Raw genomic sequence first — 16,341 nt, forward strand, 5'->3', positions numbered from 1 at the left:
CACGAATAACATATGCAGAACATAAAGAATCCTACAAAACAACAGACCAGGCCAATCACCCAACAGAAGAAATGGGCAAGAGACTCCAAGAAGTAGCCAATACACATATTAAATGTGTTCAACCTCCTTAATTATCCAGAAAATGCAAATTAAACTCACAACAAAGTACTAGAACAAACCCACTAGAATAGCTAAAATTAAAAATATGGACAAGACCAAGCATTAGCAGGACCATGGCAGTATGAGAATGTTTATATGCTACTGATGAAGTATAAAGAGCTTAACCACTTTGGAAAACTGGTTGGTATCACATTGTTATGTTGAATACAAACATACAATATGATCCTGCAATTTTATTTCTAGATATATATCCAACAGAAAAGTGTGCATATGTAAATCAAAACATGAACAGAATTATTCAAAGCAGAAGGATCATAATGTCCCCAAACTGGAAATAAGTCTAACGCCCATCAATAGGAGCATACTATTCAGCAATTAAATGAATGATCTACAGCCACACATAACCACATGATGCATAAATTTGCATTCAAAATCAGGCAAAATTATTCTGTGGTGTAGAAGTCAGAAGAGTGGTTATTTTTGGGGAGAAATAAAGGGGCCACTGATTGGGAGGAGGTATGAGGAGCTCATGCAGTACCAGTAACGTTCTATGTTTTGACCCGGGTGGTAGTTACATGGGTGTGTTTGCTTTGAGTTAATTAATTGAACTGTACAATTAATATTTGTACTTTTTTTTTCTGTTTGCAGATCCCAAGTTAATAAAAAGTTTAAAAACAAAGAGCTTTATAAAAGCTTGTAAGAATTAGATATAAAAGAACATGAGGTAAGACCTGATTTGGGAAAGAGAAAGTCTGGGATGGATGTAAATGACTGAGATTCTATTTTAACCCCCATAAGCACTGACTATAATAGATCATCATGTGTTGCCTCCCAACCCAAATCTGGAAAATCATGTCCTAAAAAGAAATTGTTATAGACTTTAAATTTCACCCTATCATCCCTGCCCATTTCCAACCAGGCTGAAATTATAGCTCTATTTAAAAGTGAGTTCATTTAATATAACTTAAATTGACTGGCTTATCTGTCGAAGCCAGCACTACATTTCACAGCCCTTCACATGCCAGCAAATGCATACATAACACTTTGTTCTTTCCTGTTCCCAAGGTCTAAAGAGCCTGCACATGAACAAAACAAATCCGTAATACAAATTATGGGTATGGATAATATAAAAGCAATGGACCAAAATTATGCATTTTAACAATTTCTAAATAATGTTTTATACCTAAAAGCATAATTTGAGGAACTCAATAAAGCAATAAAAATCTGTTAACATTTCTATTAGTCCAACACCATCTCCATTTCTTCAGGACACCTAGCACATCTCAGCAGAATTTAACAGTCACTGCAGTGTGAAGGGCAAAGACCCCCAAACTCTAGCTACCAACCTGAGTCATATCAAGATTCAACCCAGTCAGGGGCCTCATGTACTGATAGGAATTTGCTCTTATGTTTCTACTTGGGTGTGACAATTAACCCACCCAGCACACTCGAATCAGTCAGTAAAATAAACGTAGTTGATATTGTCTAAAACTTGGCTGCAATCACACGGAACTAAGCAATGTGCCATTTGAGCCTGTGGTCATTGAATATTGCAGACCATTCTCTGGGTCAACAACCACTTCTGAGTGAGTGCCCATTTGTACCTGGCACCTGTCTGGGTGCTGCAATTACAAAGAAGAATGAGGCCCAGTTCTTGTCTTGAGAGTTCATGATCATCAATTTATTCTAGGGAATTTAGATATTATGTATAAGCAACTTGAATAAAGCTAAAATCCTTTCCATTTTACCACCTAGAGAGAACATCTTGATAAATAAGCTTCCATTTACAAACACCCAAACAGTTTTTTCTTTTTTAAAATCCCAACATGCTTATACTGTACATACCATTGTGTGACCTGCTTTTATTTTCATTAGTATTTTGGAAACATCTTCCTACTTTCAGAGACGCTGCATGTGGGTGAACCATGTCTATCCTGCTCGTTCCTGAATTGAATCCCTAGCACCTGAAAGGAGTTCCTCCATCAATAGTCATTCCCTCCAGTCTCTCTCTCTTTTTAACAGATACTTCACAAACAAAATGGGAAAGCTTGTATGTTTGACTCCCACTAGAAGTAAAATGAGGGAAACTTTACAGTTTGCACAGAAGCTTTTTATTGTCCCAACATCCCTTAATAATGGTCTTTAAATTTACATATAAAAATATATTTTCCTAAATACTTTTTTAAATTTAAAAAAGAGGCTGGATGCAGCAGCTCATGGCTGTAATCCCAGCACTTTGGGAGGCCAAGGTGGGATGATTGTTCAAGGCCAGGAGTTTGAGACCAGCCTGGTCAATAGTGAGACTCTGTCTCTTAAAAAAAAAACAAAAAACTAGCCAGGTGCTGTGTCATGTGCCTGTAGTCCCAGCTGCTCAGGAGGCTGAAGCAAGACGATCACTTGAGCCCATGAATTCCAGGCTACAGTGAACTATGATGGCATCACTGCACTCCAGCTTGGGTGACGAAGTGAGACCCTGTCTCAAACTAACAAACAAAAACAAAAACAAAACAAAACCCAAACAAAATGGGTTTTGGATGGCAGATGAGCAGCCTCATCTGCTCCAAGATGCTTGTGGCTTGGTTAAGACCAGGGGCACTGGAGGCAGAGAGGCTGGACTCCTATTCCAGCTTTACCCTCAGGAGCTCTGGGATCCTCTTTTCTACATCTTAAAAAAAAAAAAAGGATTAGGCCAGGTGCGGTGGTTTGGGAGGCCAAGGCAGACAGATCACTTAAGTTCAGGGGTTCGAGACCAGCCTGGCCAACATGGTGAAACCCCATCTCTATTAAAAATACAAAAATTAGCTAGGCGTGGTGGCAGGTGCCTGTAATCTCACCTACTTGGAAGGCTGAAGCAGGAGAATCACTTGAACTTGGGAAGTGGAGGTTGCACCACTGCACTCCAGTCTGGGCAACAGAGCAAGATTCCCTCTCAAAAAAACAAAAACAAGGACTAAAAGTTGGGACTGCTTCATAGGGCTGTGATAACCTTAAGTGAGCTAATACTTAAAATAGACCTAACAGTGCCTGATATAGATAACTGCTCAATATCTTCCACATTTTTTTTTTCTTAGCTCTTGCCACCATAACTGAAGAGACTAAAATTCTCGGCAGCAATGTCTGAGCCAAGGCTGATTTTATACAAAAAAGCTTTACTCTGAATGCATTTCCTTTTGAGTTATCTCTGTATTTCAAAATTATGTCCAGTGAAATGTATAGAATAGTTGCACAGTAGGTGCTTGGTATTCTCTGATTTATCACTTGACATCCAATCAGCCTGGTAGGACTCCCAGGGGCCATGGCAGTCTGTCTTTGTGAATGGGCTCCTCAGACAGCAAGGAGGGTCTGAGGGCTGAGTGGCCGAGTGGAGAGGACACTTAGCTGACCACTAGGCTTCTGCTCCTGAACGTGCTGGGTTGCCCTTTCCTCGTCATTACACACAGAGTGATGCCTATGAAATGTTAAAAGTGTTGTTTTTCTGAAAAAAAAAAAAAAAAAAAAGGAAGGAAAGAAAGAAGGAAGGAAGGAAGGAAGAAAAGAAAAGGTGTGTATCAAGTGTGTATGGAAGAATAAGGTTATGTGCTCCTTATTTCACTATTATTAGTAAAATTTCATTTTGCCCATTTCCGTCAATAAAACAGAGCCCTACCAGCTAGCTTGTTTTGTTTATACTACTAACTAATGGAATTTCAGAGCCTGACCTTAAAAATGCATGCCTTCATAATTAACAAAAGGAACCTCAGAAAGACATGAAAGAGATGCCGTCTTCTCCCCTTCTACAGAGGGAGACAAATCTTTTTCCCATAAAACTAGTTCCAGTAATCTAATTTGATAAAACACTAAATTGAGAGCAGTCAGACAAGTATCAGTCTTGCTTTTGTGTGTGAATGACTGTTACCAACTTATTTTCTTCCTTTATCAAAAATCTGTCCTTGAAAACTAATATGAACAAAGCAATCTTGTAAAAGCCCTAAAACTAGAAATTGTTGCCATGGCCTGCAAAATAACAGTGCTTGTTATTTTCCATTATTCTTCCCTGCTCCCAAGATCCATTCTCTTCTTTTCTAAGCCTTGTACTGCACAGAACGCATCACCCAGCACCCCACTCCGACCCCGCCCTGCCCTGTGTGCATGGGCCTGGGTGGCTTTGACCAACGGGAGGGCCTCATGAGACTTGGGGGAAGCAAGCAAAATACTCATGCAAAATCTAAGGAGGTCTTCACTCTCAGGTTCCACCCTGGGCAGCATGAGCCTGAGAATGAGCATCTTCCTTCCTCACTCGGGAATTACGGGGCAGGGTATTCATTCCCACTCTCTCTCTATTTTGGGCTACGTTTCTACTTATGGCACCAGCCCCCCTGCCCAGGAAAGGGCTAGAGGTGACAGGGGAAACTTCTTCAGGGATCCACTTCTCCTTGGGCTCCCCTTGCCCCTCCAGCCCTACAGATAGAGATGGTTTCCCACTGCTATTGGTCTCTGGGTACCCCAGCTTCCCTTAACGTTACTCATACCTTTATAAGTAATTCCTTGAACCATCTGAGTTGGAAGTTATTTCTCACAAGAACCAATAATCTTTAAAAAAAGGTAATTCTGAGTATTGATCTTACTTGATAGTTTATTGTTCTGGTAATAATGTGATGGATAGCTCAGTATTCTGTGAAAGGAAAATAAATCTTGGGGCCCCCAAATCACTAAGCTAAAGGGAAAAGTCAAGCTGGGAACTGCTTAGGGCAAACCTGCCTCCCATTCAATTCGAAGTCACCCCTCTGCTCACTGAGATAGATGCATATCTGATTGCCTCCTTTGGAAAGGCTAATCAGAAACTCAAAAGAATGCAACTGTTCCTCTCTCACCTGTCTATAACCTGGAAGCCCCCTCCCCGCTTCCAGTCTTCCTGACTTTCCTTCAAGTTGTCCTGCCTTTCCAGACTGAACCGATGCACTTCTTATATATATTGATTGATGTCTCATGTCTCCCTAAAATGTATAAAACCAAGCTGTGCCCCAACCACCTTGGGCACATGTTATCAGGACTTCCTGAGGCTGCGTCACGGGTGTCCTCAACCTTGGCAAAATAAACTTTTTCAATTAACTGAGACCTGTCTCATATTTTGGGGGTTCACAATTCTTAACTAGTGTAATTAATGAAAATATCACTCTATCAAACCAGAAAAGAACTGGAAAAGAACTTGAAGTCAATGCATTTGTGTAATTTCTTATATTAACTGAAAAATCAAGAGTTTTGTCCCATTTACATAAACATAGGAGAGTGAAAACTTCAGTGAATGTTGGAAAGCATAGATGGAGGAAGCGTTTAGAAAGCAAGTCTATCACAGCCTACAAAGACATGGTCATAGTGGCAAAATTTTGTTTTGTTTTTTTTTTTAAGAGTATCTAGCTCTATCCTGATTTTCCAGCATGTAATCTATAATAAAGGGACAGAGAGCCATCCTGAGCCCCATAAATTCAGGTGTGTGTCTTCAGCTAATGCTGCACAAAGCATGTATGGGAAGATGGCTTATGTTGCTGCACAAAAACTCCTATGGCTGGCACAGCAATTTCTTTTTTTTTTTTTTTTTTTGATGGAGTCTCACTCTGTCACCAAGCTGGAGTGCAGTGGTGCCATCTCGGCTCACTGTAACCTCCACCTTCCCGGTTCAAGCAATTCTCCTGCCTCGGCCTCCAGAGTAGCTGGGACTATGGGCGCGCACCACCACACCCAGCTAATTTTTGTATTTTTAGTAAACACAGGATTTCACCGTGTTGGCTAGGATGGTCCCAATCTCCTGACCTCGTGATCTGCCCGCCTCGGCCTCCCAAAGTGCTGGGATTACAGGCGTGAGCCACCGCACCTGGCCAGCAATTTCTTTACCAACACAACTTCTTTCCCTGAGCGTTCGGAGCCGCCCAATTGCTTTGTCCTCAGGGGAGTTGTTCAACAAGTTGTGACTATCTTCCAGCAAAGCACAGCAAAATCCAGCTTGCCCACATTTTGAAAAGGTACAGCTTTAGTTTCCTGGGACTGAAAGAGGGAGGGGGAAGAGGTAAAGAAGTCGCCGCTCAAGTTCTGGGGTTGTTACCTCAGTCCTGCAGGGGATGCTATTGTGTCATCATTCCATCCACTGCTTGCCAACCAAAGGATGGGCCACAATGAAGCTCAAAGTCATTGCTCATCTATCAGAGCATGGTATCGACCTATTCGGACACTGTGTTAAACGAAGAGGCTTTTAGAAGCCACCATTTCCACGCTTCTCAGTTCTGCTTTGATAGCAAAGTAATTGCAATTTTCCAGTGTGAAGTTCTGTAGGCAGCAGAGACACTGATGTCTTGATTTACACATGTACAGAACTGGACTAGCTATTATTATGAAAATGTTAATTAGTGTTATAACTGCTCTTTAATTTGCATATTCTGTTAATTAACTTTCTCTTAAGAGTGACCACATTTAGAAAATGGGAGTGAGAAGACTATGGAAAATCAGAGGCAGGAAAGATTGTAAAGAACTTTTTCCCCCTTCTGATACTAAATCTTCACCTTGTTCTTACCCGGGGTTCTTTCTACTTTGGCCTGCACACTTCTAGTGATTTCATTGCAGGGGAGAGGAGGGGATGGGTACCATTATCCAATCATTGCTGGGTATTATGTGCTAGGCACTTCACATTTTCTCCTTTATTCCCCACAATCACCATAGAAGGTAGATATTGTTACATCCAGTCACAAATGTTGAAACTGAGGTTCAGAGAGTTTTTAAGAAACCCGGTTTTAGAAACAAGTATGTAGACTTCTGGTTTCAGTTCCAACACATAAGAACTTGGAAGTCACCACTTTTATCCTAACAACAAGAAAAAGCTGGACAAACTGAAAATCAATGACTTGTACTTGTACAGGACAAATGATCACCCCAAAATCTGGAGAGACAGAGAATATAGCAGAGGTCTGCTTACCTGGAACAGAAGCAACTGGAGCCATAGACTGGCAAGAGCATGCAAGTGGTCACTTTGACAAATTGTTGGAAGTTGCCAGTGGAGTAGCTGGAGAGTGAGAAACTGCTGGGGCCAAAGTTTTTGTTGCCACTGGAAACAAGGGTAAGAATTATAGCAGAATTCTTGTCAGAAACCATGCAAAAGTCAAGTGGGGTGAAATCTTTGAATCATTGAAAAAAGATAACTGCCAACTTAGAATTCTAAATCCAGAGAAATTATCCTTCAAAAGTGAAGGAGAAATAGACTTTCTCGGACAAACAGTCTGAGGGAATTTCTCACTAGCAGACTTGTTCTGCAAGAAATATTAAAAGTTCTTCATGCAGAAGGAAAAGGATATAGGTCAAAAACTTGGATCTACAAAGGAGGAGCATCAGAGAATTGGTTGATCTAAAAGATAACTTTTTGGTTAAAGCAATAGTAGTAATAACGTACTGAGTGATTAGAGCATATTGATAAGCAGAACAAATGTCACAATGGATGGGAGGAAGGAATTGAAAATATTTTAAATAAGATACTTGCACTATATGTGAAAAGGCACAATGGTATTATTTGCAAGTGGACTTACATGAATTAAAAGTTTATATTACAAACCCTAGGGCAACCACTGGAAAAGTTTTAAAAAATGTATATAGTTGAAATGCTAAAAGAAGAGGTAAAATAAAATAATATAAAATATCAAAAAATCTATAAATGAAAACTAAACAAGGCAAAGAAAGAGGGGGAAATCAAGCATGTGTATAGCGCTGTTCTAACCATTAAACTAATGTTAACTCTTTTAATCTTTGTTACAATCTTATGAGGCAAGTAGTATCATTATCTTCATTTTCCTGGGTGAGGAAACTAAGGTATAGAGGGTTAAGTGGCTGGTGCAAAGTCACACACCCAGTAAACAGTGGAGCTGGGATTGAAATCCCAGGCAACCCTTGCTCTTAAGCCTCAAGCTAAATAGCCTTATTAATGTTACAGCCAGAATTTCAAATAAAATCTCTCTGACTCCAATTGCTGTGTCCTTATCCACTATGCTAGGAATAAACTCTGCTATTTCAATTTGTAAATCATTTTATCTTCTAGTCACTTTGGTTTTTATTTTATTTTATTTTATTTTTGAGATGGAGTCTCACAGCCCAGGCTAAAGTGCAGTGGCGCTATCTCGGCTCACTGCAACCTCCACCTCCCGGGTTCAAAGGATTCTCCCACCTCAGCTTCCTGAGTAGCTGGGACTGCGGGCATGCACCACTATGCCCAACTAATTTTTGTATTTTTAGTAGAGATAGGGTTTCGCCATGTTGGTCAGGCTGGTCTTGAACTCCTGACCTCAGGTGATCTGCTTGCCTCAGCCTCCCAAACTGCTGAGATTACATGAGTGAGCCACCACGCCCAGCCTCTTCTGGTCACTTTGACCTTATATTTTTAAAGAATTTTTTCTACGTTATTAAGATAACGTGAGTTCACCACAAAAAAAGAGAAATTAGTACAAAAATATGTAAGGAAAAATGCAAAAATAATTCTATTATCCAGAGTAAATCACTGTTAATATTTCAGTAACTGTGCATTTATACATCTTTCTATATATATATGCAAATGTGTAAATAAAACTATACTAATAGAACATTATACATATGCTTTTATTATAAACACATTTGTTTTCTTCTAGTCTTTACTTTTTATTCTGTGTTCACTCCCTCAGCCTCTCCCCAGCCCCACCTGCCCCAAATGGGGAAATCAATTTTAAACTAAACTTATAAATATATATTAACATTTATAGAAATTTTGTCATTTGTTTTTAAAAAGTAGATTCCTGGCCGGGTATGGTGGCTGACGCCTGTAATCTCAGATTTTGGGAGGTCGAGGCGGGCAGATCACGATGTCAGGAGATTGAGACCATCCTGGCCAACATGGTGAAACCCCGTCTCCACTAAAAATACAAAAATTAGCTGGGCATGGTGGCATACGCCTGTGGTCCCAGCTACTCAGGAGGCTGAGGCAGGAGAAATGCTTGAACCCAGGAGATGGAGGGTGCAGTGAGCTGAGATCGTACCACTGCACTCGAGCCTGGGCAACAGAGAGACTCTGTCTCAAATAAATAAATAAATAAATAGATAGATAAATAAAGTAGAATCCTATTTTATACATTTATCTGGGCCTTACTTTCCACCTAACAATATATGATGGAAATCCTTCAAATAAACTGTTATAGATATTACACCTTCATTCTAGCGACTGTCTAGTACTCCAAGGTAGGGAATGAACCACAGTGAATTCCAAAATTTATTTAACTGAAGTGCCTTCTTGTGGTATTTAGTTTTTTGCCTTTCCAAAGTGCTGCAATAAAAACTGTACACAGATCTTCTTCTTAAACAGACAGATTTAACTTCGATTTTCTTGCCAAATTCCACTAAATTACAGTAAATGGATTGTTTTAAAGGCATAAACCCACAAAGAGAATAGAAGAAACAGCAGCGACACAGTGAAATGGCATCTAACTTAGCAGACTTTGGAAAGTTGTAGGAAAGCCAAGATCAGTCTGGTATACATCGCAGAACCCCAAGAAGCTTAGGAGTTGGTGTTGTCAGGTGCCTCTGGACATGGGAGGAAAAGTGGAACTGAAAAGAACAGAACTGATTTAGTTTCCGTTTGAGAAGCAGTTAGACTCCTGGATCCCCTCTCCAATTTGATGCAGCTAGGTGACTGCCAACCCCAGCCATGAAGTTTCAAAGTTTATTTTCTGGAGCGGGTAAATCAGAGGGTCTCTAGACTGAGAGAAATGAAACAATTGAGGGCAGAGGTATATATTGAAAACAAAAGAATTCAATATCCAAAAAATTTACATACTAAATACCCTGTTTCTCCTCTAGGTTCTGATAATGCTGGAAGCCAAATGTATTCTTATTAGTCAGGCAACTAGAAGTGTCCTCTCTGGGGAATGTAATCAGCCTGAAGACAAGACCTAAAGATACTGATACCAATTGTTTCCCAAATGAAATAGCCCTGCCATACCATCCTACTAAGAAGACCACAATGGTAAGGTCGAATGAAGAGAGCTTTGAATTAGCTTCTCAATATCTCAATGTTACATATGAAGTGTTAGCCAAAAATCATTAGCTATTTGAGGAAAATCTCTAATATGAGAAAGTGACCAAAAGCAACTGGGATGAAACAGATATTAGAGATTTTAAAAAGTTGAAAACAAATAAAAGCTATCCTCAGGTACAGAAAATATATTGCACTCATGAAATAATAACAGAATACTTGAAATAAAAAGATCATTCAGATAACACAAAAAAGAAGCTCCTAGAAAGTAAAATATGAAAAATAAGGTTTGGAATCGCTCCCCAAAATAGAGCAAAAAGTTAAAGAAATGGAAATTAGAGCTGCAATGAAGATTAGAAGAGTTACTGTTTGTTCCATGGTTAGAAGACTTCCTGGTACACAGAAAACAGAAAAAAGTGATAATAATAATTACAGAAAGATAAAATGAGGGGAAAGAAATTGCCAAAAAAATAATTCAAGAAAAACGTTCAGAATTGAAGGATGTGAGTATCAATATTGGAGAAATCATTAGAGAGCCCAATACAATGAATGAGGCACGCCGCTGTGTTTTCAAAACTCTTAGAACAAAGAGAAGAAACTTCCGGAGAGAAAAACAGGTTTTGTACTATCAACCTAAATAAGAAACAGAAAGAAGCCCTCTAAAAGAAAAAGATATTTAGGAGTACAGCACTGCAATGGGAATATGCATGTCATAGTCAACTCTATGTGTATTTAGGGAAGTAAGAGAAGACAAAGTGTTTTAAAGGAAAATGAGCCTGGCTCTATTTGTCAGGCTTTTTCAGCACCAGTGACTCCATTTTGATTCTGACAACTTTCACAATATGAATGATCAAGGATGCCATTGAGCTTCTCAACAGCAATTATGGAAGCCAGAAAATAATGGCTAGAATAGTTTTAAGATTCTAAAAGATGTTCCCCTTCCTGTGTCCAAATGTTCTCAACGGGGCCCGTTGTGGGGTGGGCGGAGCGGGGAGGGATAGCATTAGGGGATATACCTAATGTAAATGACGAGTTAATGGGTGCAGCACACCAACATGGCACATGTATACATATGTAACAAACCCGCACGTTGTGCACATGTACCGTAGAACTTAAAGTATAGTAAAAAATACATATATATATAAAAATTCTAAAAGAAAGCATTTCCAACCTAAAATTTTCTCCTCAGCCTACTAATCAAACATGAAAGTTGAATAATGATTTTTTAGAAATCAAATGTCTTGAATTTTCCTTCCATTTATTCTCAGAAAGGTACTAGAGGACATATTACACTAAATGATGGAGAAGATCTTTCCTAAAATGAAAGACATTCCTGACCTCTTCCTTCCCACTTTTTCTTTTCACTGCCCCAATCCCCACCATTACCATGGTAATTGCTGTTATTTCTAATTCTATAACCTAAGATCTCACTGGATTTTGGCAGCCATATCAACCCTCAAATCTTCTGCAAAACTGCTTCTGCTAAACCACGTCTCACCATCACTACCACATGCACATCAGGTACCTGCACTTAATTATCCCAGACTTCAAGATTGATATGAATAATTTCCTAAGAATATGCCCTGAGTCCTGGTTTGTTTTACCTAAGTGCAGGATCTTCTTTCTATTGCTGATAAAATCCATCTTGTTAGATTTATCCCATTGCTCCAGCCTGTCAGTCTTTTTGGTCTTAATTCTATCAGCCAATGAATTTGCTATCCTTTCCAGGCTCTTGTCATCCACAAATGAAATCACTGTGCCCTCTAAACTTTCAGCCAAGGCATGGATGTAAATGCCAAACAAGCCAGGGCCGTGTCCATCCGGAAGTACATTGATCAATGCCAACAGCTGTTCAACCAGTTATGAATTTCCTCAACTCTCATGGGAGATGCTCCTGCAGATAAAACCGAATCTGTAGACCAAAAAAAACTATAATGTTATTAATATGGAGTATCTGGTTTCTCTGTCTCTAATGCAACTCATGAGAAGTGTGCCATTTGGAGCCCAAGTAAGTAAAGAAACCCTTTGAATAAGTTGAGTAGTGAATACATTCAGGCTCAGCTTATGAAAACTAGCTACAGAGAAAAATACGAGAGAGAAGCATCTTGTGCAACAGTTCCATTCTATTTTCTTTTCTTTTTTTTTTTTTTGAGACAGAGGCTTGCTCTCTCGCCCAGGCTAGAGTGCAGTGGTGGTGAGATCTCAGCTCACTGCAACCTCTACCTCCTGGGTTCAAGCAGTTCTCTTGCCTCAGCCTCCCGAGTAGCTGGGACTACAGGCGCAGGCCACCACACCTAGCTAATTTTTTGTATTTTAGTAGAGATGGGGTTTCACCATGTTGCCCAGGCTGGTCTCGAACTCCTGAGCTCAGGCAATCCGCCCACCTCAGCCTCCCAAAGTGCTAGGTTTACAGGCGTGCACCACCACACCCAGCCAATAGTTCCATTCTAAAGACAATATAAAGTGAACATTCTCTCTAGTCATCATTACCCTTAAAAACCCTTTAGCAAAGAGCTGCATTGGAAGCCATCTCAGTCTCTCAGTAAGGTCCCCAACACTAGCTTTTCTTACAGTGGTGGAACAAATTGCAATCTCTTTAGTAGAGCATCAATGAAGTGGTTGGCTCAATTTTAGTAGCTATGTTAAAGAAAAATATGCATCTTGTAAATACTAGAATCATGCTTAGTGTGGCAAGATGCTCCCACTGTTAGAGAACAAAGCAAAAATATTGAGTGAATAGTAGGTGCTCCTCTCTCCTTCTGACTCCAGGGCTTCCACTCAGTAAGTGGAGGAAATATTAGTCTCTCTCTGTCTCTCTCTCTTTCTCCAGTTCCTCAGAATAGAATTTGTTTAAACATGGGTATGACGTCTGTTTAGTAGTACCACATTTTTTTTTTTTTACAAAAAAGTCTTGGGAGTTCTAGGCAGGCAGATGACAAGGTCAAGAGTTTGAGATCAGCCTGACCAACATGGTGAAACCCCATCTCTACTAAAAATACAAAAATTAGCTGAGCATGGCATGCCTGTAATCTCAGCTACTCAGGGGGCTGAGGCAGGAAAATCGCTTGAATCCGGGAGGCTGAGGTTGCAGTGAGCCGAGATCCCACCACTGTACTCCAGCCTGGGCGACAGAGCAAGACTCCATCCCCCACCCACCCACCCACCCCCAAAAAAGGAGTAAAAAATACGCACACTTCTGATACCTGAGATCGGAAAGTTCAAATGTTTAGAGGAGGACAATTATTCAAAAGGAGGTGGATTACAATCTGTTATCTTGGGGGATTCAGAGTAGTCCATTTCGGCATTGGAGTGTCTATTACAATCCAGGCAGGTTGGTTAGTTTAACTACATGTCTACCTTGGGGAATTACTGGGTGCCTGCACCTATTATTTGTAGGTACTATGCATCATTGCATCTGTGCCTGATGAGGTTCTGAAGAGACGAGGTCAACAGGAAGCTGGGATTTTACAGTGCCATTATTTGTAGGTACTATGCATCATTGCGTCTGTGCCTGATGAGGTTCTGAAGAGACGAGGTCAACAGGAAGCTGGGATTTTACAGTGCCCTAATATTTTAAAATGCTAAGGAGAAGTCAGTGCTCCTCCATCGCCCCTCCTGAACAGCAACCCTTAGGTGGGAAGAGAACTACCCTTAAGTAAGGAGTTAGTGGGCTTGTCCTCCATTACAGGAAGCTACAAAATTAAAACCAGGGATGTACTGAGGAATGCCTCCTAGGTGTGCTTGCCTAGTGCCCTCAGTAAAACTTCTTTGAAAGAGATGTGGGCAACTGTAGCAGCCACGAGAGTGGAAAGTTGAGAACCTAATGATCTGATTTTGGGGAGGTTAGAAGACCTGCCATTATCCTTGACCTGAAAGGAAGGTAAAGATGGTTGGTCTCTCAACACACTCATCACCACAAGAAAAGAATAGCATTTTAAATCCAGAAATCTCTTAGTCAGGGCCTAAGCCACATATGGTTGTGTGAAATAGTAACAGTGCTCACACCCCTGCAAAGGCAAGGTGCCTGGAGAGGGATGCGCAATGTTGAAAATCAATGCCTGTCTCTAAATGAAAAACTTAGACGCACGTGGGCTTTGGCTACATAACGAAAGCACTTGGGTTCAGTAATTTACAGAATTAAATGAGTGCTCATATTCAAGAGCTTTTAGTAGAAGTGAAACAATTAAATGACCAATGTTTTAGAAAAGCATTTTTAAAACCTTACTCTTAATTCAATTTGACCTTTTTAGAAGAATTATTTAGCAGATAAATTTTATCCCAAAACCAGACAAAAGAATAAAATGAAATCACACTTATGATTTCTCACATGCTGATATTAACTTCTTTCATATATTTTAAACAATGGCAATAGACTTTGTACTGAAATCTAAATCTACGTTGTAAAATACACTCAGGGCCGTGTCACTAGCTTCCAGTTTAGTGGCTTCCAGCACTTATTGATCTCACAATGTCAAAACAATTTTTTTTTTGCCTCAAGGCACTTAATCTTTGATCAGAGGGGATCAGTTACCAAAATTGACTGTATGAAGTTTAACGGCTGAATTTAAATTGTACCAAGTAAACAATTATGTCATTTATATTTGTTATAGGGCGGTCACCATCTGCTTTATTCTGCTTGTGCTTTAGGGACCCAAAGTTACAGGGCAATTTTTCTAGTGAAAGTTTTTAATCAAATTGTCATCTCCTGTCTAAGCCACCTTGTTGAAACATGACATTTCTGACCCTGGTAGCATCATGAGAATTTGAAATAGAATATAAATTTGTATTACTGGGTTTTCTTATTGGTTGACCAAAAAGAAAAATTAACCTTATATGTATCACAAATTAAAGTATAAAATTTTAAAGGATCTTTGTCCCCAGAAGTGGGAAAGCAAGATGTAAATTAATAAAAGTCTCTTGAAATGATTATGCATCTTATTCATCAACAAAATTCTAGCCACAGGACCACAGCTGACATTTACTAACACTTATTACATATGCCAGGCTCCATGATTGCTGAATTGTATATCACTTAATCCATACATGAACTCTATGTGACATGTTTTATTGTTGCTTTCAAGTTTACAGATGAGGAAACTGAGGCATAGAGCACATCAGTACCTTGCCCAAGGATATGGGCGAAGGACTGGTTTTCAGTCCAGGCAGTATGACTGCAGCACTTGTTTCTACCATACTTCCTCTGAACAACCCACCTGTAGAATAGGAAGATCCTCACCTAACCCTTTCACCCAGTAACTATAAAACACAGAGAATGGACTGGATGAAAATAGTGTACTTTCAAGTCTTCTTACCTCATTTCCCTCTCAAATGCTGTTCCTATTCCTTCTATAAGTTTTGAAGAGCCCTTGGCCAAGCAAACAGACCGGGCTGCTCCTGTTTATGAGTTTTTTTTTTTTTTCCATGAGTGCTATATGTAGGAAAATAAAAAGGAAGCATAATTTGTAAAAAGCACTTAGGCCACCTTCTCTGCTTTTAACAACTTTCTAAAACAGACCCAGACTCTTATTTGTAATAACAGTTGCTATGAATCACCTTTTGGTTATTTTGGCTTCTGTAATCAGAGGATTCTGGGCCTTTTCATTTGGATTTTCTCTCTTGTCTTTTTCTCCCTGAAAAGGACATGAGGCATTTTGTCTATTCTCTACAAATCTAAACTCTCTAAACATGGCTTGATCAGGCTGTGTTGTGGATATTTCGCAATAGGAACGAATCTAGATGGTGTAACAACTACTCACTTTATTTGATGGAAGTCAGAAGTAACGATGAGTGATTTGCTTAGGGAATCATTTTACATTCTATTTGGGAAGCAGCTGACAGTTCAAGTGGTTTAAGCTATTACACTGGGAATGAAATAGCACTTTTTTTTTTTTTTTGAGACAAAGTCTCACTCTGTCACGCAGGCTGGAGTGCAGTGGTGCAATCTCGGCTTACTGCAACCTCTACCCTCCAGGTTCAAGTGATTCTTGTGCCTCAGCCTCCTGAGTAGCTGGGATTACAGGCACCCACAATCATGCCCAGCTAATTTTTGTATTTTTAGTAGAGGTGGGGTTTTACCATGTTGGCCAGGCTGGTCTCAAACTCCTCACCTCAGGTGATCCACCCACCTCGGCCTCCCAAAGTGCTGGGATTACAGGTGTGAGCCACTGTGCCTGGCAGGCACAGCACTTTTTACCCAAGGTGGCTTGATGGTG

The 16,341-nt window shown here is 39.9% G+C and overlaps 1 long non-coding RNA gene across 14 annotated transcripts in view, besides 2 other annotated features; it reads right to left on the bottom strand.

Annotated features, from left to right (window-relative positions):
• LOC107986777 (uncharacterized) overlaps positions 1-16,341 on the bottom strand; it is a 303,857-nt gene that overhangs the window by 171,015 nt on the left and 116,501 nt on the right. For 12 of the 14 annotated variants that reach the window (XR_001745132.2, XR_007060256.1, XR_007060257.1 and 9 more), the window contains exon 2: positions 7,061-7,189. The exons of the other annotated variants lie outside the window; for them this stretch is intronic. This is a non-coding gene — a long non-coding RNA (uncharacterized LOC107986777). The remainder of the gene's footprint in view (positions 1-7,060; positions 7,190-16,341) is intronic. 14 annotated transcript variants of the gene reach the window in all.
• Positions 13,596-13,806: a silencer, noted in NCBI's record as "fragment chr7:24365511-24365721 (GRCh37/hg19 assembly coordinates)". NCBI's record gives its function as "represses an EF-1alpha promoter that drives an FKBP-Casp9 reporter gene in an ReSE screen in K562 erythroleukemia cells {active_cell/tissue: K562}" and the evidence as "EXISTENCE:reporter gene assay evidence [ECO:0000049][PMID:32094911]".
• Positions 13,633-13,702: an enhancer, noted in NCBI's record as "active region_25740". NCBI's record gives its function as "activates an Ori minimal core promoter by ATAC-STARR-seq in GM12878 lymphoblastoid cells {active_cell/tissue: GM12878}" and the evidence as "EXISTENCE:reporter gene assay evidence [ECO:0000049][PMID:35858748]".

This window comes from Homo sapiens, chromosome 7 (assembly GCF_000001405.40).
Source record: "Homo sapiens chromosome 7, GRCh38.p14 Primary Assembly".
In the NCBI taxonomy this organism is placed as follows: Eukaryota; Metazoa; Chordata; class Mammalia; order Primates; family Hominidae; genus Homo; species Homo sapiens.